The sequence below is a fragment of the Homo sapiens genome, chromosome 1, assembly GCF_000001405.40.
Source record: "Homo sapiens chromosome 1, GRCh38.p14 Primary Assembly".
Classification (NCBI taxonomy): domain Eukaryota; kingdom Metazoa; phylum Chordata; class Mammalia; order Primates; family Hominidae; genus Homo; species Homo sapiens.
Window position 1 is genome coordinate 97,325,146 of NC_000001.11, and position 23,938 is coordinate 97,349,083.

Here is a 23,938-nt window from a genome sequence, read left to right on the forward strand (position 1 = left end):
AGTACCCAAAGGACTGCTAAATTTAGATAGTTTAAAACTTTGCGCTTTTTTTCACTTAACAAGGAACATACTATGGTGAACTTTGCTGGTTATGTAATTAACACCTAGAAGCAGCAGCACCTAATTAGATTTTTACATCATCTGGGCAAAGGCAGCATCCAGCACTATAAAGAAGTCTTTATTTCATACCTTTCAAATTGCTACTATTCCTAGAACTTAACATAAAACTGCTAAAATCACAAATGCAACTCACAGATTTCTTACTGCTTTTTCCTTTTTTTGAAAGTGAATAATTTGTGGGAATACTGAAACCTTCTGAATCTGGACCAATGTCCTTAAATGAGCACTTGCAACTATCCTGCCTCTAACCATGAAAGCTTTACAGTCTTCATGGTTTAGGCCATTCTGGGTTTGGTAAAATAAACAGACATAAAAATGATCCAAAACAATCTGCTCTACTTGAAGTGTTTATGAAGTGAATGAAAACTTAGCAGTGGAGTGATTACTTTTTATTAACTTCTAGAGTGTGTGTGTATGAGAGAGATGTGAGGAGACAACAGTGAAGGTGATTGTAGTTTGGAATCTTGAGGGATTCACAAAATCACTGGCTGGAGTAGAGCCTATGGAAAAATGTATGACTAAAAAATACTTAAGAAAAGGTTCAAAAGCATAGGAATGCATGGTATCATATGAAATGGGAAGGAAACTAGTGCATATGAAGGAAGCAGGGAGGAGACATGTCCACATGGTTCAGCTAGAGTTTAGGGTCAATTTTTGAAAGATTTTGTGCCTTATCCTTTAGGCAATAAGAAAACATGGAAGGCCATATGTTTAATCCATGTTTTAGAAACATAACTCTTATATATGTCTATGGGGTGAGAGTATAAGAGTCCAAGCAGGAGACCAATCAGAAAGAGAAGGTATGGCTAATGTGAAACAATGTCAGTGAAAATCAATAATTTCAAGTGGACTAGGATGTTATTTTAAAGATGAATGTTAAAAAGTTTCAAGATAAGGACAAATCAGAGTTGGGGAATGAAAATTTAAAATTTTGCAGATTTCAATTGCTGGAGGATAGTAATGTATTCAATCAAGTTAGGAAACACAAGAGAAGCAGGTTTTGGCAAGGGCTGGGGAAGGGTGAATGAATTTCAGATACATTGAGTTTGAGGTCTCTATGGGACATCTACCTGAAAGAATCTGGTTGAGAGTTAATAGAAATCTGGATCTCAGAAAGGAGTTTTGGAAACATAGATTTGAGAGTCATTGGCATAACTCTCAAATTAAACTCTAATTAGTAGATGGTGGTTGATGTCTTGTGAATGGATGAGAAGATGGAAGGAAAAGGGCTTAAGCTTTGGGATCATTAATACTAAGGTGCAGAATCCTTATAATGGTCAGAGAGAGAGGAGAACAACCAGGAAAAATATAAATGAGAAGACCACTTCCCCTAAAAAAGATGTGGATGAAATTATTGAGGTAAAATACTGCAGAGAAATTAGGTAGAATGAAGACTGAAATGTAAGTAATAGAATATACCACTCACAGTTATTGGCAACTTATGGGAATGTAGTTATAGACACCTAATAAGATGGAAGGCAGATTGCAAGGGGTTAAGAAATTAATATTTGCAAACATATAGTCAAAGAAAACTAACAATAAATTAATCTGAACTATCAGAGTCTATAACTGTGTTTTACATAAAATACGTATAAAACAAATATAGCAATTAATTATCATTTTACAGTTCTCACAATTAGAACTAATGACATGATGAAAGAGATCATCTGTTATGTTACAAGGCAATAAGTGTATGTAAAGATAAAGAGATTATAAGACATTTTAAAATAAATCAATTGTGGTTTAAACAACATCCTGAATTCTTACAATGTGAAACCAGCAACTGTCTGAGACACCAAAAATGAACTTTGCTTATTAAACACATAATTGAGATCACAGGCCTAAATAGGACCTGAAGAAGTTCCCAGACAATATTAAAACTAACATATATACCACAGTTAATGATTTTCCAAGTCCTCTCACCTATTAGCTTTACGGTGCTTAAATCATTCCAGCTTTCTTATTTTCTTTCAAATTATCCCTAGCAACAGATACAGTAGACTCTGCTTCTCATAATATTTATAATCATCAAATTCCAATGAATATCTTTCTTATCCTGCTACAGATTAAAATCATATCTACTTGTCTTACCTTGAATGAGAAAAGAAACAACTATTTACCATAATTCATTCAATATTCCTACATTATATTTTTCAAATGTTATTTTCCTGATTATAAAAAAAGTTCTTAATTATTGTGGAAGCAAATACCAACTTGAATAAAGAAGAAAAAACTAAAATTACTCATAATGAAACAACTAAATAGAAATAAAATTAAAAAGGTCTATTTCCTTTGAGTAAGAAAATTTTACTCCTTTATTGAGTAAATACACTGTACTCAAAATTTAATGCTTATCATTTTTAGTTATATATCCTTCATTTTTATATAAGGTGCATTCCCTATGTCACTAAGCTTCTTTAAAAATACTATTTTAACAGTCATATATTTCATATAATAATTTATAAATCATATAGATACACCCTATTTTACTTAATTATTTATTTCTCAATTTTTGGATGTTGAGATTATTTCCAGGTTTTGTTATAAATAACATGGCACTAAATCTCTTCTAATAGGTGGTGCTCATACATTGCCTTGCTTTTGATGCTACGTGCTGTGTTCATAGGCAAAACTGATATTACAAAAAGCAAATACATAACAATAGGCATTTAGAAGATATAACTTCTTAGAAGAACTGGGTAATCCATAGCTCTGGGCCTGGCACAAGCAGGAACTTTGATGCTGTATGTTAACACAAGGGCAACTGATGAAGGAGATATAAGTGGGTATTTCAGTTGATGCACGATACCCATCCACAATTGGTCTTCAAATCTCCTCTGTCCTCTGAGAGAGAGTAGAGTATACAGGGCTTCTATGTCTTGCTCACATACAGATCTCCTCTCAGATAGCACATGCATAATTCGATTTGTCCACAATGTATAATCTGAGCCTATGTTATTCATAATAGAATTGCCTAAACCTTATACACCATAGAGATGCCTCTTAAGAAATAAAACAGTAATGCTACTATATTATAGACATGGTTATTTCTAAATAATTAAGAAAGAGACAATAGCCTATATAATACATATAAATCATGGCATGCAGCGAAAACCAGTCACTATATAGTATGTTAGGAAAGTCATATTAGTCTACTTATGTTTAACTCCCAGGCCAGAGTTTATTAATGTTGTTTCCTCCATCCACAATATCCATCCCATTCATATCACACACACTTGCTCCTGCCCTTGAGTGAATTTACTCATTTACTTTTCCTTCAGATTTTACTCAGATTTTTGCTTAATAGAAATGTACTTAACAGATGAATAAATGAATACTACTTGTTATATAACTGGATACTATGATAAAATTATTTGAAAAGTATCAATAGTGTTATAGGTATCCAAAAGACACATTAGTTAGAAAAGATAACAGAACTATATCCTACTAGAAAAGGGAAAAATGGTCAGATTACATAAAATATAGGTTTACTTTTACAAAGTATACTTAAGTAGTATTTTGTTAATCATTTCAGAGTTATATATTTACTTTTATACAAATAAATGTACTTAAAGTATGCTGAAATTTTACTGTGATTATGTTGCAATCAATTATTACAGAAAAGTTGTGAATATTCAAGTTGGACTTATTTGTATCAGCTCTTTACACCAAAGGGCTTTTTATTGTATGCTTTTGTTTTATTTCACATTTAATTAAAGCTAATAATTTGTTTAAAGTTTGATTAGAGAAAATATTTTCCAAGGTGAGTGAGAAACAACTTCTGAATATTACTTCCTAGATTTTTGGACAATTTGGTAGGATGAACTTAAGCCTAAAGCACCTATTAAACAAGAAGGAAAAGAAGAATAATAGTAAATCTGAATTTTGTTAAGATTTCATGAATAGAAATGAGCATTACAAAAAGATATTTCAGGATGTGGAAATGCTACCAATTTGAATACTGCATAAATTCATTTTTGTGGTGATGTCACTAACTTTGAATTATCCGTATTAGAGTGGGAACAGCCATTTATATTACAAGCATATTCAAAATAAAGTATATGTCTCTTTGGGATGTAATCAGCATTACAAATGTACACTGCTAACATTCTTTATTTTCAGTATTTAATCCTGTATTAAAGTGATGTTTGATGAGCACTCTGTGGCTACTAATGGGTAAGGGTAAGAAATAATTTTGAGGCTGGGCGCAGTGGTTTACGCCTGTAATCTCAGCAATTTGGGAGGCCCAGGTGGGCGGATCACCTGAGGTCAGGAGTTCGAGACCAGCCTGGCCAACATGGCAAAACCCGGTATCTACTAAAAATTAAAAAAACAAAATTAGCTGGGCATGGTGGTGTGTGCCTTTAATTCTAGGCACTCGGGAAGCTGATGCAAGAGAATCTCTTGAACCCAGGAGGTGGAGGTTACAGTGAGCCGAGACTGTGCCACTGCACTCCAGCCTGGGCGACAGAGTGAAACTCCATCTTAAAAAAAAAAAAAAGGAAAGAAATAATTTTGAGACCCCATGCATGAATGGCACACTAGATAAATGTCTTACCCTATGTTTGAACACAGATTCACAAAAGAATGACTATCAGGTCATTTTTACCATGTTTGTGACTTTTGATGAAGGTTAAAATTTACAAAGAATGGAAATATTTTGATATCTTATTTCTATGTTATTTCTGGTCACTTCTAGAACACCAAAATATGCAATGTATTTCCATCTCAAAAAAAATTCAAGTCCTAACTTGACTACAACTTTCGTTATTATGTATATATGTATATAATCCTAATATACAAGAAACATTTTACTTATATTTCTTAATTCCTAATTAGATAGTGAACAACTGTTTGGACATTAAATTTCCTGTATTTTGCCCTGACACAATATAAAGTGAATCAATAAAAATAAATACTGATTTTCCTGGCTTTAAAAGAAATCAGGATGAGCTCAAAAGCAGCCCTAAAAAATTGAAAATTGAAAAGATGATAAGTTCATTCTCTTTTATATCACTCCTTGTTGTGGTTCATTGTTATAACTGTTGTTTAATTAATATCCAAACTTGCATAATAACTAAAGTATGTGAATGGTAAACAGTAGGGTATCATCAGCCATAATTATCTTATTTGCCTAGTAGTGGGCTGCATGTTATATAACCAGTCTGTAATAATCCTTATTTGATGATACTCATTAATTCATTCACTCCACAAATATGTATTCAACTGCTACTCTATCTGCCAGAGCTCGACAGTAATAAGACAAAGCTACTTTTCTCATGAAGTTTTCATTCTAGTGGAAAATATGATAAGAACAAAATAAATAAGTAATATAATTTCAAGTAGGTGATTTAAAAATATACAACAGGGCAAGGGATGAGGGGGTAGAGAGTGGCTGTAAGGGTGTGGTACACTGGGGATGAATTACCTTGGATAACCTTTTGGGAAAGTCACAGTTAACTCCGTATATTCTATAACTACACAAATTATCCATTTGCTTTTATAGTTGCCTTTAAATTATTTTAATTTCATGAACTTAAATTTTGTCTTTGCTCACAGATTTTGAGTTGCTCAAAGTTAGAGATCATGTATTTTTTCATCATGCAATATCATCCACAGGGACAATCATAATATTGGTACATGAAAGACACAGTAGATATCTTTGTTGACTGAATATTAATTCTTGACTAAATATTCATTACTTAGATAAAACTTTTTAAAAATAAAACGCAACTGCAAAGCAAATGTAATGCTGACATATTTCATATGATCATTGCCTGTCTACATGATCCAGTTCTATATAACACAGTAAGAGGAAACTGAGATACAGGTGTGAGAAAGCTTCTAAGAGTTAGGATAACTCTTAGCCAAGTCACTAGCTCACACCAGCCTCATGACTCAAATTTTTTGCAAACCTATATATTGAGGATGGGTGTGGTGGCTCATGCCTGTAATTCCAGTGTTTTAGGAGGTCAAGACAGGAGGATCGCTTGAGGCCAGGAGTTCAGAGCCAGCCTACGTAACAAAGACCTCTTCTCTACAGAAAAAGAGGAAATTAAAAAGTTAGTCAGGCGTGGTGGTGTGTGACTGTAGTCCTAGCTACTTGGGAGGATGCGGCAGGAGGCTCGCTTGAGCCCAGGAGAGTTCGAGGTTACAGTAAGCTATGGCTGTGCGACTGTACTACATCCTGGATGACAGAGCAAGACCCTGTCTCAAACAAACAACCCCCCTGCCAAAATTGTGTATTGGTATATTTTATACGAGTCCATTCACCAATAGTTGAAACTGCAAATGTTTGCACTCATGTTCATATGGGTTATGGGTAGGTAATGAGATTTTCTTCACAAAGGAGAAAAGCAAAGAAGGAGGAAAGAAAGACTAAAGAAGACTAGAGCTAATAAATTAAATTATTAATAACTCCTCTGAAGTATTATAACATTTAGCTTTTGCTACAAATTATATGATGATGCCATTTGTGTAGGGCAGCTTAAGAATAAAGAATAGTGTTTTTGTTGTTGTTCAGACATGGATACAGGATAATATAAAGAATGCTTGTGATTTTATTAAGAAAATAACTTTAAAATTCCACTTGGAAGCTATATATGTTCAGGTCAGGATGAAAAATTCTGAGAAATACAGATCTAATGGGAGTATTAACGGGATATTCTCATCACTGTTTTATCTATTATCCAGAAACTTTTACCTTAGAAGAAAGAATGCTTTATTTCTCTCGTATTCAAGGTTTACATATCCAGGTCCTATGAATTCCATCTGAGATGCTATTAGTTGATCATTGTTATCTTCTAATTGTGTGCCTAGGAACACTGAGAATTCCGTTGGTATTTCTGAGCCTAGATCTACTGTCCAGAGTCATACACCCTTCTTGTCCAGCTCTGCAAGTGGTAATCTGAAGTCTGAGCTGCTTCTCTACAATGAGGCACACATCCTGTCTATTCCTGTAGTCTCTGAGCTAGTTCTGCTTCTGTTTTACAATTTAACTACTTTAAATGGGCCAGATTGTTTTTGGAAAATTTAAAAGAGCTAAATAAAAATGTACATGTATAAAACAGAGTTATTTCAAGTTTCTCACACATGCATTCAATTTTTATTAAACACACACGCATATATGTATTTTTAGCAATATAATAAGGATGGTAGTAATATTAAAGTAGAACTAGGAATAGCATTACTATAGGCAAATTATTGAACTAGGAATTCTGAGTTTGAAGGCTTGATGATTTCGTTGAGTTTTGTGTCCTAGAAGCATCTTCATCTGCTCCAAGCCAAGTACTCTGTCTTCATGCTTGGGCATGAATACAATTCAAGATAGTTACCAACAAAACGATAGTGGTGCCTTGTCATGTAATAGAAAAGATATTGCACTTTTTTGATTCCTGACATAGTATGAATAGTAATGTAAATCACAAACTCTGGAAAAATGAACAAAATGCATAGTCAAGTAAGTAAATTCTTTATTATTGTTGATGGATACATTGAAAAACACAAAAGAGGCTGAAATTAAATAATCTAAATCTCTGAGAGTCATAGACTAAACATTTGCTGTTTCAACTATTTGTGAATGGTTGTAAAGAACATATTAATATGTAATTCTGTAAGAAACTTGAATCATGCAGTGAGGGTATGTGAATGACTCACATGGCTAAGAATGAGTTGAACTTTCAAGAGCTTTTCCAGCTAGCCCCTACACTGTAGTCTCAACTCTTTTTTTAACTTAGTAGTTTAATTTTGTGAAGTTTTATTTAAAAGACCCCCAAAGAAAGCCAACTGCTAATTCTTTTTTTTTTTTTTTTCAGACAGAGTCTTGCTCTGCCACCAGGCTGGAGTGCAGTGCCATGATCTGCTCACTGCAACCTCCGCCTCCCTGGTTTTCAAGCGATTACCCTGTCTCAGGCTCCCAAGTAGCTGGGACTATAGGCATGCACCACCATGCCTGGCTAATTTTTTGTATTTTAATATTTGGTATTTCTGGGCCTAGATCTACTGTCCAGAGTAATACACCCTTCTTGCCCAGCTCTGCAAGTGGTGGTCTGTAGTCAGAGCTGCTTCTTTATAATGATGCACATTCGGTCTATTCCTGTAGTCTCTGAGCTAGTTCTAGAGATGGAGTTTCACCATGTTGGCCAGGATGGTCTTGATCTCCTGACCTTGTGATCCGCCCTTCTCGGCCTCCCAAAGTGCTGGGATTACAGGTGTGAGCCACCATGCCCGGCCCCAATTGCTAAGTCTTAGGATTTTTTTTTTTTTTTTTTTTTGAGATGGAGTCTCACACTGTCGTACAGGCTGGAGTGCAATGGCAAGATCTCAGCTCACTGCAATCTCCGCCTCCCAGGTTCAAGCCATTCTCCTGCCTCAGCCTCCCGAGTAGCCGGGATTACAGGTGCCTGCCACCACGCCTGGCTAATTTTTTTGTATTTTAGTAGAGATGGGGTTTCACCATGTTAGCCAGGATGGTCTTGATCTCCTGACCTCGTGATCCACCCGCCTCGGCCTCCCAAAGTGCTGGGATTACAGGCATGAGCCACCGCACCCAGCTGAATTTTTAAGTACAGTTTTTGAAAGTTGATGGGTCCTAGCCAAAAAAGAGAAGTTCTGGATAAATTTGATGGTGACTCAGACAAAAATGAGCATACCATATGCTCTATATGGAAACAAGAAAAAGTGATATTTGAAAATGTTTTAGCCAGTGCTCAATTCAGAATTTACGTTAATAGCATTATAAACGACTTTAGTTCTGTTTCTATAGACTCATTAGGGGTCTACAGGGATCATTTAAATATTTCAGTTACACTTTACTGCATTTTATGAGGAAAATTATATATTATAATGATACTTGGGGATTTGAGAAGGTCTTGGGACATATCCCTCATGAATATCTAAGTCTCAGCACTAGTAGATTTACTTTTCCCCAATAATTTCTTGTTAATTTTTCAGTAATTGCAAAAATTTGGCTTACTTAGCTTATTATGGAACTCTACTTTTTTGAAGATGCAGAGTTTTCTTGCAAGTTATTTTAAATTTGACAGTAAAATGCCTAAAAACTTAAGACTTAAGATGCTAGAGGAACTGCAACTGCTCCAGATGTACAAGTGCTAGCATGGGGTATGGTTGAAGTTATAACCCCTGCTCTTGCTAATTCCTGCTGCATGGTCATTGTTCAACTCATCTGTCTACATTAAAAAACAAACAAACAAAACAATAGCAGAATTACGGGATTTGTAACATGCATATTGCGTGGTCTGTGACCATAAGTCGCTTTCAGGCTAGGAGCAAAGACAAAGTCCGAGTAATCAAAGTATTAATAGAAGGTGGTATAGAGTAGGGACTGCAACTTGCAAAGCAATGAAAAGAATGTTGGCTTTGGATCAACTAAGCCTCTGCTTTCCTGGCTCTGTTGAATAGCAGCTGTATGACTGGTGCTGACCACATAGTAGGAGCTCAATAAATTATAATTATAAGATCAGTGTCACAAACTACAGTAGAATTTAGAGAAGAGAAGTCATTTTGGATATCAGTGCTCAGCAGAACTATTTAAATTTGTCCTTGGAGAACAAATAGACTTGATGAGGCAGACATTAGAGGGGAATTTGTGCCGCCACCTAAGAATGAACAAAGGTGCTGTAGGGAACAAGAGAGCCCGGTGCATATTGGGAAAAGCACTGTGTGTAAGTGTGTTACCACGGAGGTTCTGTGTGTGTTGGGGCAGTGGGGAACAGACCCAAAGAGTAGGTTTTTAAAAAACGACAGAATGCCTGTCACTGTGACAAACTTCTAGAGAAAATATTTCCTGTGTTTTTCATCATGCTTTCCTTTGCAGCCTGCATAGAAAACTTTGCTGTCAGCTTTTGTAGAGGCTGCTTCCTAAATTTAATTAGAAGATGTTTCCTAACAGGGAAGCAGAGCCTCCCCTCTTCTTTCCATGGCTGCAGTTTATCTAATCAAACTAAGCTCATCAAATTCCTGGCTTAGTTGTTCTTCACGCTGGCTATGCATCACAATCATTTATGGAGTTAAGTACACACACACACACACACACACACACACACACACACACACACACACGATGCCTGGGATCCAGAATTCCTGAAGAATCTCAGGAAAAAGGCAGTCCATGTAACTGTTTAAAAGAGCTTCACAGATTCCAATATTCAGAAATGATTGCAGGAGAACTTTGAGCTCATATCACCTTCCTTAGAAATTTTTTAAAACAGGGTGTGAAGGTGGAATCTATTTAGATATGATAATGCTGTGTTTCTCCATGGGAATCACTATATATTTTTCCTTAAAACAACTGAATACATAATCATCAGGCATTATTTGTAAAGATGTCAAAACTCAAAGAGTTCCATTTACCACAGCTCTCTCTAACTTAGTTGGGTCCCCATAGCCCTCTGCATTACCTTTTCCACTCAGCCAATTCAACAGATAGGTATCAAAATAACTCTAAATTTCTTGCATTTTAAAATAACATATGGGAAAAGAAAATAGTACAGTTGCTGCTTTACTTCAAAGAAGTCCACCTGCCTTTTGAAAGCAAAGACAACAGAGTCAATTTACTCTTTCATATTTTTTGTCCTTCTGTTCCTCCCCCTCCATCCCAGTGTTTCAAGGCTACCCAGACCTCCTTCTCCCTTTGACTCTCATGGGCATTTTCCTTTGCCCAGTGTTTCGTATCCTTGTCCTTCGTGTCTTTCTCTATCTCTTCAAGTCTCTCTTTGAGGTGACTGGTTTCATATTTTAGTCATGAAGTTATAAACAGCTTAATAGTTTTTCCTTATAAAGAATATTCATATTTTAAAAGAAAGCTCCAAAAAAGCAACAATGTGACAGTGTCTCCACCTCACAGAATGACTCAATAATAGTGCATAATTCAAACACCATGGCACAATAATAGAAGAGATACATTTGAGCAAGTAAGCCTTTATGGAGTGCCTCTTGAATTACACCTGGTAGGCTATTCAAAGCCTGACCCAGAACAGGTAAATGCAGTATCAATGAGCCCAAATCAATTTTGAAAGTTTTACAGCAGTTTTTAAAACATAACTGCAAAGATGATTTAAAGAACTAAGTCTAGTAAAACCACCAGGCATCAAACCTGAGGTGTCGATACCTACTAGGTTCTCAATAAGTGTTTGTAGAATGAATGGATGTACTAACATATTTAAATCATATCAAGGAAAGAAGGCTGGGTGTGATGGCTCATGCCTGTGGTTCCAGCACTTTGGGAGGCCGAGGTGGGCAGATCACCTGAGGTCAGGAGTCCAAGACCAGCCTGGCCAACAAGGCAAAACTCTGTCTCTACTAAAAATACAAAAAATTAGCCTGGCACGGTGGCGTGTACCTGTAGTCCCAGCTACTCAGAAGGCTGAGGCAGGAGAATTGCTTGAACCCAGGAAGCAGAGGTTACAGTGAGCTGAGATTGCACCACTGTATTCCAGCCTGGGTGACAAGAGCAAAACTCCATCTCAAAACAAACAAACAAATCATATCAAGGAAAGAGATGTGAATCAGGAGCTAGGAAAGCTGAGTTCTACTTCTGACTTAGGAACAAGGTGAAAATGGAACAGCAGAGGGTAGAAACTGAAGTGGTCACAGAGATGGGATTGAATGGAAAAATACAATGTTAAAGAGGTTTCAAGGAGAAGTTATAAATAAGGTCAAATTCTGTGCAGTACATGAAAAGGGAGATGATTGTGAAAACGTGACTGGTGACACTTCTGATAGTGTTTTGAGCAGAGTAGGAGAAAGCACAGACAGAAAGAGTTTGGAGAGTGGAAGCAAAGAATTTTCTGAATGACCAGAAAGGAAGGAATGATGAAAAATAGACAAGTGTATTGAGAGGGTGGCAGAATCAAAGCAATTTTTATCATGCATGTAGGAGAATGGGAATGGACCATGAAGAGGCAGAAATGAAAAATGTAAAAGCTGAACAGAGAGTAAGATTTTTAAGAAGTTGATGAGGCTCAGATTAAGCATATGAGTAGGGAAGTTTGTCTCCGAAAGGAGAAGTTCTTCTATCTGATACTGAGCTTAAAGTACAATGCCGAGCAGAAACAAATATTCCCAGGTGAGTCAGAGCTGGGAGGAAGCAGAATTCCTCAGGACTCTATCAAATACCTCGTGTTATGCTTCCTGTCCAAACGAAAGCTACTAATTTCCCACTCTCCATCCTTCTGCCCTGACCACCACATGCTGGCTCACCTCTGTAGTGTAACACATCTCATTCACCTAGGCCTCCTAAGACAGCCCTCTGATTTCCACTGTTCTAAGACAGAACACCTTCAAACGAGATCTTAGCTGATGGCTGACCTCCTAGGCCTTTTGCTAAGAAACTACCAGGGCTAAGTTGAAGGCTCATGACTTAACACATTTTTTTTTTTTTTTTTTGGAATTGGTTTCCAGTTAGGAGATTGTCTCAAATGAAAGCAATACAGATCTGAGTGGAATTTTTAAAAAGCTGTATTTCCAGAGACACTTTAAGTCTGGCAGAATGGCATGGGATTGCTTAACAGTTGAGTACCATTTAACTATGTTAACATTTATGACTGTGCCAATACTGGGCAAGGGTTATTCCCCGGCAAGAGGACCTGAAGCTGTGGCACTCAGTCTGGCTACACAAAGAACTTGCTTTATTTCATGGGAAGTGAGTTGCCACTAAATCTCCCAGGCAGAATGGGCTCTGTACTTAGTACCATTGACAACTTACACCTTGATTCTCTCCTTCTCCTTTTCTAAATGTAGTGGTTCCTCCATTCCTGTTTGCTAAATGTGTCTGTTATTATACAGTCTATTTGTTACAGAGTTTTATACATGAAGTATCAAGACATTATGGTGTCATTATTTTCACCTGCCACTTTAACCCCACAGCTATTTTTACTGAGACATTGGGAAAATTAGATTCATTAGAGATAATCTAAGCAAAATAAAGGTGAAAATAAAAAAAATTGTATACGGTAAAACCTTTACACTTGGTGGCAATATTTAAAACTGTGAAAATGGATTCTAGGAAGATGGGAAGATGCCAGGGTAAGTCAACACTTAAATAAGCCAAGTAGTACCACTGAAGCCTTGAGTTTCCTGGAGAAGAGAGCAAGTGTGAGGATTCATTTATCTTGGGGAAGGGAGAAGAACAGAGGTCCCAACAGGTCTGAAGCTAATATATAGCAGATTCCTTGGCCACTGGAGACTGCCCAGCCACATATGCCGGTGGAGCTTCGATCATCCAAAGAAGAGCACGTCTGCCAAGGTCTCACACAGTCCTTCAGGAGGTTGCCTCATGCGGCTGGTAGGCAGTCCTGGGAGGGTAGGGGTGATGCAATAGGTAGGACAAAATGCTACAAGTTTTTATATTTTAGAAGGAACTTTGTCCCCCTTGGACCTAGAGAGTCTTAGGTCCTGGTCTTATACCTGTCCCAGTGAAGAGGTTCTGGTATGCTAGGGTGTAATCACTAGCTCACCAGACAAAATTGCCATTGCACCCACAAACCTCCAGTTTACCAGTGCTCAAGAAAACCTCAAACCTGGCCTGTTCTTGTGTGGCAAAATCTACATTACAAGGAAGTCAAAGAAAAATTGCTACCTATTTCATGTACTCTTAAACTTGTGGGAGGGAGGTCAAGCTTGAACAGGTAGCTACTATTAAGGAAGAGCTAATGAATGAGACAGAGGAGAATGTTAGTTTCAATGTAATGAGTATTCTCAAAGAGATACAATTAGAAAATAAAAATAATAATTACTTGAACTAACAATAATGATTTTCACAGTTCTAAAATCAAAGAGAGGAGGTAAAAAAAAAAGAGAGTAGCTACTGCTGAGACCTGAATTAACTGTCTGGATGACCAAAATAAAGGGACAAAGAAGGAAATTAGTGATAAAATAAGTGATTTAGAGGAAGATCTAGGTGACATAACATGCAAAGAGAAGTAGTTCCAGATGGGGAAAACTTCAGCTTCTATCAAATAGAAGTCATAATCATGGAAATAACAGAATAAAAATTCTGTTGAAGAAAGGCTTGTGCCTTTTGACTGAATGGGCTCACTAAGACTCAGACAGGATTAATTTTACAAAAAGCCACACACCTAGACATAATCAGGGAAAATGTCTGACCTCCAATGCTAATGAAAAAAATTCTTTCTTCTACTCAGAACAAAAAATAGTTTTCTTACAAAAGAAAGATTATGCGACTATGTTATTAAAAGAAAATGACTGTCGCCCAAGAATCTTTATACCAGCCAATCAATATAATAATCAAATGTTAAGAAAAAAGGCACAATGGTTTTCAACAATCAAGAATTCAGAAAATATGCCACCCATGTACTGATATCTTATCTGAAGAAAATACTCAAGGAAGTACTCCCAATCTCATAAAATTTCTACCAGAAGCAAATCTCTTCTTTACAAGAAGAGCAAAGCACAATGCAGTGTTAATACAGTGAATAAACAGTGTTAACTTGTTTTAGTTTATGTGATGATAATTCTATAACTAAGACAGAATAGAAATTATAAGACAGTGTTCTTAAAATTTATGTTTGTGTGTGTGTTTAATTAAAACCCGTAACAAAGAGCTTTCAGCTACTCAGAAAAATCCAAAAATTGTGGAGAAAAGAAGGAAGAGGAAGTAAGGTAGAAAGGAGTTTAAAAGTCTCTAAAAAGGTACAGGGAGTAGAGATTCAGGAGTAAAATGGGCAAGTAGGCTGTCTTAGTGTGATCATTGTCATTACTGAACTGGATATACTAAGCGAGAAATATTGTTTCACATATTATTGTGAATAGCAGAAGAATGCAATTTCCAAATTAAGAGACTTTTAAAAAAGGAAAAACACCCAACAAAGTAAATAAACAGTAAACACAAAATATTATAATAATAAGTAAATAGGTCATTTACCACTATATATGTTAATGGAATGAATTATGAAAATAGAGAAAAGAAAAAAAGAATGCAGGAATGGAAATATTAATGTTAAGAAAACAATGAAAACTCAGGTCAAAAGCACTAATAAAGATAATTAGTGATATAATGATTACAGGAATAATTCTCAAAGCTATATGCATAAACTATATATCAAACAAGAAAAGACATATAGGGAAAAAGTGGGAAATGATATAAAAACACAACGATGGCCAGGCATGGTGGCTCTGCACTTTGGGAGGCCAAGGTAGGAGGGCCACTTTAGCCCAGGAGTTCAAGACCAGCCTGGGCAACATAGGGAGACTCTGTCTCCACAAAAAAAGTAAGAATAAATTAGCTAGGTGTTGTGATGTGTGCCTGTGGTCCCAGCTACTTTCGGGAGGCTGAGGTGGGAGGATCCCTTCAGCCCAGGAAGTTGAGGCTGCAGTGAGCTGTGAGCACGCCACTGCACTCCAGCTTGAGCAACAGAGTGAGACCCTATCTCAAAAAATAAAAGAAAATAAAAACACAACAATGGGAAATTTTAATAGGTATCTGTTAGATTTTGACTGATCAGTCAGATTGAAAACAGTAAATACGTAGATAAGTTGAGTGATACAATTAACTTGCTTGATTTAATAGATAATTGTGAAATTATGTAGCAACATACATAGCACATGTATTTTTCTCATATACTCATGTGAATTACTTGACATACAGTTGGCCACAAGAATACCTTGGCAATTTCCCCCAAAATAGCTGTTTTATACATTGGGTTCTTTGACTAGAATTTAATAAATCTAAATCTAAACCAACAGATGACCTACCTCACCCCTTTATCAACTGCTTATATTTGCAGGAAAGTGACAGTAAAGGCTAGTTACCAAGAGAAATTGAAGGAGGAGTACCATGACATTAGGTCCTTGTCTCTGGTCTTCCCCCATGTCAGGAGTACTGCCATTCCTATGGTTTGGCTCTGAGTCAACAATTTCTCTTACTGGGCTTAGGCTAGTTTGCCTTCCTTTCTGTTTCATAGCAAAAGGAGCTGATTAACACAGGGTTCTCTCTTTTTCTCTCCCTCTGTCTCTGTCTCTCACTACATATACATGCGGACATGTATATTGAATTCATACAAATACCTTCAATTACATCAAGTTGAATTGCAAAGCCCCTAATTTACTGCAGATATGCTTAGATTGATATTTCTATGCACAAGACTTGACAAGTAAAATTTTTTCTCATGAATCCTTCTCTCTCCTAAAGTAATATAATTTAAGGAACAGATCTCCTGAACACAGGATATACATAGGAACCCATGGAATTTTCATCTCTCTAAGTTCTTTTACTGAACAGAGACCACACCATTAAAGAGGAACATTTTGAGTTCTCTAGGTTAGCATATTAAAAAGGTGAAATTTACATTAAAAACTTTTTAGTTTTACCTTACCAAATTAAGGATCCTTATTTCCTTTATGTCAAAGCAGATAATCACGAAGACCTGGTAAGAACAGCTGACTTTCTGGTCAGCCATTTTATCACTCTGTTTTTCTCCTTAAGGAAGATTAGCACATCCTTTTCTACTGTTAGTGTTCTAGTCATGCTAACAGTAGCTGCAGAATCAAGTCTTTCCTAGAGAAAGCCTAACTGTTTCAGTGTTGTCCTGGAGTCGATTCCATGTTGAGTGACATCAGGTTGGTAGCTTGAAATTGGCTATAGTGAGAGAATTCATAACACAGAAACCAGCAACAAATGCTACAAATAGGAGATTTGTTTTCAGGAGAACTGCTTCACTAGCATAGTAGTTGTTTTGTTCCAGGTAGCTGATCTGACGAAGTTTAGAATCTCATACTCTAGTGAGAAGAAATAAACTGGGGAAAAGAAGTATTAAAAATTGATTATGTTCTTCTTGAGTCAATGAATTTATTTCAGAGAAGTATAATTTTTTAGAAAAATAATGGAGTCCTTAAACTAATAATTTTGGAAAATGTTAAGTGTGAAAAATTGTCATATAAAATTGTAAGCTGAGAAAAAATAGTACTTTTGCTTAAGGCGACTTAAATACATGATCTTGTCTACTTTCTTCCTTTTAATCTCCTGTATTCTTGTAGTATTGAATCTTTCTAGTTTCTACTTCGAAGAACAACTAATTTAATTTTTCAAAGGATGGTTGGAATGGTATTTCAGTGAATAAGAATATTTCATATTGTGCCTTAATAAAACTTGGAAACCTGTTATTATTATAAGGATAAAAATTACTAAGGCTTTTTCTTTCTAGAAAATCACTGAAACATTCTTATTACTTCATACAGCTTCACAGTGCTAAGCAAAGTCGACTTATGTTCTTAGTGGAATTAATCAATGTACAGCCAATTATAACTAGTAGTAGGTTCAGAGTTGACAAATATGCGTATCAAAGTCATGTATGGAAACTTGAACTGAAACCCCTTAATTTACATTCCCCAAATGTCCAGAAGAATAAGAAAATTAAAAACAAAGTCAAAACTGAGCACTGAAAGTTTAGCACTGATGAATGTTCAGAAGTCTAAAAGATACATTTGTGTTGGGAGTTGAAGTCGTGGTAAGGGTGCTGTCAGTGGCATGCAGGGATCTGGCTTCAAGGATTTTGAATTGTTTTTATTTAGTGGCCTTTGCAATTACTGGCCTTGCCAGCTCATGAAGGAGCTTATCATCACTCCCCCTACCACTTACCATCACCACCACTTTGAGAAGAACAATTCAATTTATTTTTATGATAGAGCACACTTTTTGATCTCTGGATGAAGTCAGTTACATCTCCTGTATTTGACTTAAAATTTCAGGAGAGGAAAAAAAAACACTCAAAGAAACAAACAAACAAACAAATAAACAAAGCCTTTTAAAAAATACTGTGAATCAGTACATTTCCTTAATGTTATAAAAGTCTTTTGAGATTCTTGTATGTGTGTGTTTAATTGTCCCAGCTATCTTCTATGAACTGAGAAAGGCCTTCTTTTGTTTGAATGTGACAGATCAGTTAGAACTGTGGCAACTACCATTTACAGCTATTGATTTCAATGTGACATTAAAGGCCCCAAATTCCACCATTATTCTCTTCAATTGTCACAAACAAAGGTTAATAATAGTTGAGTTTGGACTGAAGGAATCAAGTAAAGATTGCCAACTGAAATTACATGTTGTTTATCTGAGGCACAAGTCAGTATGAGGGTCTCTGGTCCCTAGGTTGCATGTGTATTATCATTATTTTAAAAATATGCCTTTTGCTAAAAGTAATATTTAAAATACAGAAAATGAAAGTGTAGTATAAGAAATCATGCTATTTAAAATAAATAATTTAAAAAATATACTTGTCCTTAACACAGAGTAAAAACATTTTGTTTTGTTGCTTCTATAGCAGCAAAATAATGTTTCTCATAACTGTAAAAAGTGGTATGTAGCATGATTAAACAATATTTCAACTCTTTAGTTCATGCAGAGGTTACCAGCTAGAGGGTAGAAAGGTTTGATTAGGTTTATGTCTTCCATGAGAATTTTTTTTAAAAAGCATACAACTCCCTTAATATATGAGTGCTAAAGCTACAAATGGCTTTCTTTTGTGGTCAGGTATGAAAGAACAAAGTCCCTTTACTACAATAAATAGGTAGAAAATAGCTAGTGAGATATTATAAATCTTCACAAAAGCAATGCCAAGTTAAAAAAGTCTGTAAGTCTTTAAAATTTTAACTCGTTTATATTTATATCATCACTTACTACCTATTTACTCCAATGGTAAATGGTAAATAGTTTCATGTGCTGTTTCCATGGTAAAGCTTCTTAAACAAGCATCTTATTTTTTAAAAAATTACACTAATAATTGCAATTATATTAATACATAATTATTCAATATTTACATAGAACTGCAGAATTACACTTATTAGTGGAAAATAGCTATTTTAAAGTATTTTATGAAAAGGAACCCTAGATTAAGTAAATGAATTGAGGATAATTTATTATTGGTCATTATTTCTTAAAAATAAAAAAAAGAGAGAGAGAGAGAGAGAATCTCGCCAAAAGTACTTGCTAGTAACCATTCTAAGGAATTCTAGAAGTAGGGCAGTATGATTCCAAATAAATATGGTTTATTTTTTGAATAGACAGACCAACATTCACGCTTGAGTTAATGCTATGCAGTACCATTTCATAACTCAGAAGATAACAATAAAACACACAGGTGTTGAGAATTGTTCATATATAGACAATTGTACAAAGAAATGAAAGTTCTCCTTTCCCAGTACCAGAGGTTCTAAACACTAGTAGTGTTGGTGTCTATTCTTTTCATTCTTTAAACCCTATGTTTATATATGTACATCTTTATATAATACATGTATTATTGTTATTTTAACATTCAATTTTTTTCTCTTTACATTATATATAATCTATATATGTCACCACACACACACACACACACTACATTGATATATGCGAAAATTGCTTTACTTTTTCCCTTTCATTAAGACATAGAGATCTATCTCACTGTTTTTTATAGTGACAGAGTATCCCATTGTGTACATGCCATAAGTTACTCAACGTTCTTTAAGGATGGACATTTGTCTCCAGTTGTGTTATTAAAAATGGTGCTAACTTGAACTACATGAAACATGTTTATGCATGTACTATAATTTTTATAGGAGAGATTTTTAGAATTGGCCTGCTGGGACTAAAAGTATATGCCATGAAATTTACTTAGATGCTGCAAAATGCTTTCCCAAAGGGTGGTACTGTTTCACTTTCCACTAGTAAAATATGAAAGTGACTGCTTCCCCACACTCTCTATAGCACTAATGGTAATCACTCTTTGCCAAATTAGTTGATGAAAAATATAATATCTGTGTTGGTTTAATTCGTATTTCCATTCTGACCAGCTGGGTTGGATATCTTTTCACGTTTACCGGCCATTGGTAATTTTGCTTCTTTAAATTGTCTATCCATTTTTAAAAATCTGAATTGTTTGTCATTTTCTTAGTAACTGGCTAAAAATATTTTTTCCTAATGTCCCATTTTCCCCTGCTTACATGAAGAGTGCATTATCATTTTAAAAAATACATATGGACAAAAAGAAGATGAAAACTGTCCATAATATTTTTGGTGTATATTCTGACATTAGTGTTAAAGATGAGATGGAATCATGCTTCCCATTCTATTTGTCATTGCTTTTCTTCACTCAACAAAATGGGCTCTACATTTTTGTATACCCTTAAATGTTCATTCACAACTATGCTTTTTAAACTTTGTGATCAAAACAAAAGTAAGAAAACATTGAAATCCTTTCACCAAGCAAAATTTCATTTTGAAAACACAAAAATGGAGTCCAAGTGGAATGGCTCAATCACCTTTCCCTCATAACTCATATCCTAGACTGGATAACGGTGACTGTCGGGATGCGAGAAAATGCTTTTTAATTGACAGGTAGAAAACAGCAGGAAGAAAAGTGATGGGTACCTCACTTGCAATTATGTGTGTAAGAAGGCTTCTAGTCTTGATTACAACTCCATGAGATGAATGCTGTTATTAACCCATTTTACAGAAGACAAAATGAGTGCAAAGTCACTTGCTTTATATGATAACATATAGTATGCATAGCATTTGAATTCAGCAATCCAGTTCTGAAATATGTGCTCTTAATCACTATGAAACCTGCCTAATAGAAGTACACAAACAATATTTACACTTGGGTCATATTATTTTAATGATTTTTTTTACAAGACTTTCCCAACATGTTGCAAGAACTGTAAAAATAGGTTTAAAATTTTGTTTAATGCAGTAAATGCAAAAGAATATTTATAATACATATATTAGGTAAAGTAAGTTTTTATTTCTCATTCCTTTGCTTTTAAAAGTTTTACCATATACATTTATATCTCCAAAGAACATATAATTTAGTATTAAATGTTTTTATCTTCCATATACATGAAATAATATTCTTCCTTATTCTTCAGCAACTTCCTTTGTCAATCTGACATTATATCACAGAGATTTATTTATGTTTTCCATATAGCCATATATCATTCATTTTTATTGCTACAAAGTATTCCACTGTATAATTACAAGTCTTTTTATCTCTTCTACCATAAATGGGCATTTGGTTGTTTCTAGTTTTTAAATTATTACTATATCTTCTCTTAAGTGGTTGCTCGATCCTTTTTTTAGTTTTTATATTGAGTTGTCTTCCGCTTCTGAATTTGAAGAAATGCATATATTCTAAATATCACTCTTCTGTCTCTTGTTTGTAGAACAAGTGTTTATTCCTAATTTATATCTTGTCTTTTCGTTTTCCTCATGGTATTTTTTGATTAAGAAATTTTAACAAACTTTTATGATCTCTGTATTTTCTGCCTTGTTTAAAGAATCCTTATAGATTATAAGGTCCATAAGGCATTTTTCTATACTGTTTTTGAAACATTTACCGTACTGCCTATCACATAAAGGTCTATCTACTTAAACTTGATTTTTATGTATAGATAATGATTGTCTTACTAGTATTTAGTTAATAGTTCAAAATTTTCTCACTGGTTTGTAATGATAGCTCAGACAAAAATCAAGCTTCCATATCTGTCTGGGTATCTTTACGAGTTCTGTGTTCTGCGAGTTTGCTCAATTTATCCAACTGTGTGTCAAAACCCCTATCTTAAGAGATATAGCTTTATAAGAATTGTTGAAAGTGGTTATGACCAAGTTAATATATGTTAAGTGCTTAGAACAATGTCTAGCATAAATGCTATATAAAATATTTTATTTTATTATTATTATTGAATGCCTTGGTGATTTGGGGCCTTTTAAACATCCATATAAATATATAAATCAGTGGATTCTTTTGGATATTTTTTATAGATTATCAGAAGATATGTGAATAATGTCATTTTTCCCAATCCTGATATTTTCATTTTTTATCTCTTTATTTTAAATTCATTTTTCAAGCCTTACTGTATTGGCATTTTATATCTAGTACAATGTAGAATGAATATGCTAACAGCAGGCACCCTTGTTTTATTTCTGATTTTAAAGACATGCTTACCACATTTCACTATTAAGTTTGATGTTTGCAGCAGATATTTTGCAAATATCTTTGATCACTTTAAGGAAGTTCCTTCCTATTCACAATTTTCTAAGATGTTTTTAAAATTATGAATGAATCTTGACTTCTACCAAACATATTTTCCGTATCTAGTGAGATGATCATATAATTTTTCTGCTTTAACTTGTTAATATGATGACTTACATGACATGATGTTTTCTTTCGGTTAAGCCAACCTGGATTTACTGAGATAAGCTCCATGTTGTCATGCCATATTCATCTTTTTAATCTTTTAATATGTTGCTGGATTCTGCATGTTAACATTTTGTTTCATATCTTGCATTGATGCTTATGAGTGAGACTGACCTATAATTTCTTTTCTTACACTAATCTTTCAATATCAAGGTTGTACCGGGCTCATAAATTGAGGGAGTATTGTGTTTTTTTATTGACTGATTGTTTTTTCAATTGACAGACAAAATTGTAGGTATTTATCATGTACAACATGATGTTCTGAAGTATATATACATTGTGGAATAGCTAAATTGAGCTACTTATATGCATTATCTCACACAGTCTTCATTTTTTGTAGTGAGACCACAATAAACATTCTCAGTATTCTCAAGAATACAATATATCATTTTTTTTGCTATAGTCTGTAATAGCTTAAAACCTTTCCTCCTGCATTTCTGACTTTCTAAAGCCTGTTTGGAAGGCCAGCTTTCTCTTGTGTACTGAAAACCAATCTCACTGGAATGCTGGTCAGCCATTCTACAGTTAAAATGGAAATTAGGAATCTTTTTGACTAATTAGATTTCAAATAGCTTTTGCTTGTACAGTATATTCATGGATGTTAAGAAGGCATTGTCACAATTAAGGTTTTTGAGAAAATCCTTTCCAAGAGGATGTTTTCCATCAACAAACAGAAGAAAAATTAAATGCCCGATTAACAAACATAATGTCCTCTTTAATAATTCTCAGCACTCTGGTAATTCTGTTAATATTACTGTGCTATATCTACAGTTCTTTCCTTTTGTTTCATGTTCTGAATAATTCAATTAAAAGTCTGACAAAGCAATAACAAGGGATTGAATGCTGTCGAATCGTAATTTGAAATAAAAACATAAGCTCTTTGGGAACACTTATTTAAAATTCTGCAAAACCTTTTCAAGTATCTGAGATTGTTGCATTCTACAAAAGAAACAGTTAACTACTTAGCTAAGTTATCCTGCTTCCTTTCTTGTAACCAATTTCCGTAAATAAGGAAAACACAGTTGTGTAAAACAATGAAGTTCTTGCAAAACAGACCACTTTGTCTGCACCTGGCTTACATGGAAGGAAGAACTATTCCTTTTTCCTGAATTTTGAGGAAAAACAGTGGCACAGCTTGAGTACTGAACAGCAGAATTGCCTGGAAGGCTCATCCACAGGGCCTACAATTTCTGTCCTTTTATCTGGAAAATATTAATATACAAGGTAATGTGAGGGAAATGAAAAAGAATGTGATAAAGACCTTGCCCTTAGAAAGTGGCCACTCTAGTAACAGAGATAAGAGCTGTCATGTGTGACACAATCTCATGCAGTTGGCGGACAGAAGGGAGCCAGAAGGTATGAAGGGGAATATTGATCCAGATGTTAAAGCCATAGGCTTCAACTTCCCCTCCCCCAATATGGACACTATTCTGCTTCAGTTCTCTGAGCTGTCATCAGAATTCATGATAAGGAAAGACACAGTGAGGAAATCACTTATTCTGACATCAAGAAGAAAAGCAAGTAATATAACCTGGTGTCATTTTACAGAAAAGCTACGGAGTAGTGATTAAGTGTACAGTCCTGTAGTACAGAAACCTGTGGTCAATTTCTGG

General features: G+C 34.9%; 1 protein-coding gene and 1 long non-coding RNA gene across 8 annotated transcripts in view; one reads left to right on the top strand and one right to left on the bottom strand.

The window, feature by feature from the left end:
* Nucleotides 1-23,938, bottom strand: part of DPYD (dihydropyrimidine dehydrogenase) — an 843,317-nt gene that overhangs the window by 247,403 nt on the left and 571,976 nt on the right. The window lies entirely within an intron of this gene.
* LOC105378867 (uncharacterized) overlaps nucleotides 12,514-23,938 on the top strand; it is a 48,351-nt gene continuing 36,926 nt past the window's right edge. For both annotated transcript variants that reach the window (XR_007066237.1, XR_007066236.1), the window contains exon 1: nucleotides 12,514-16,526. This is a non-coding gene — a long non-coding RNA (uncharacterized LOC105378867). The remainder of the gene's footprint in view (nucleotides 16,527-23,938) is intronic.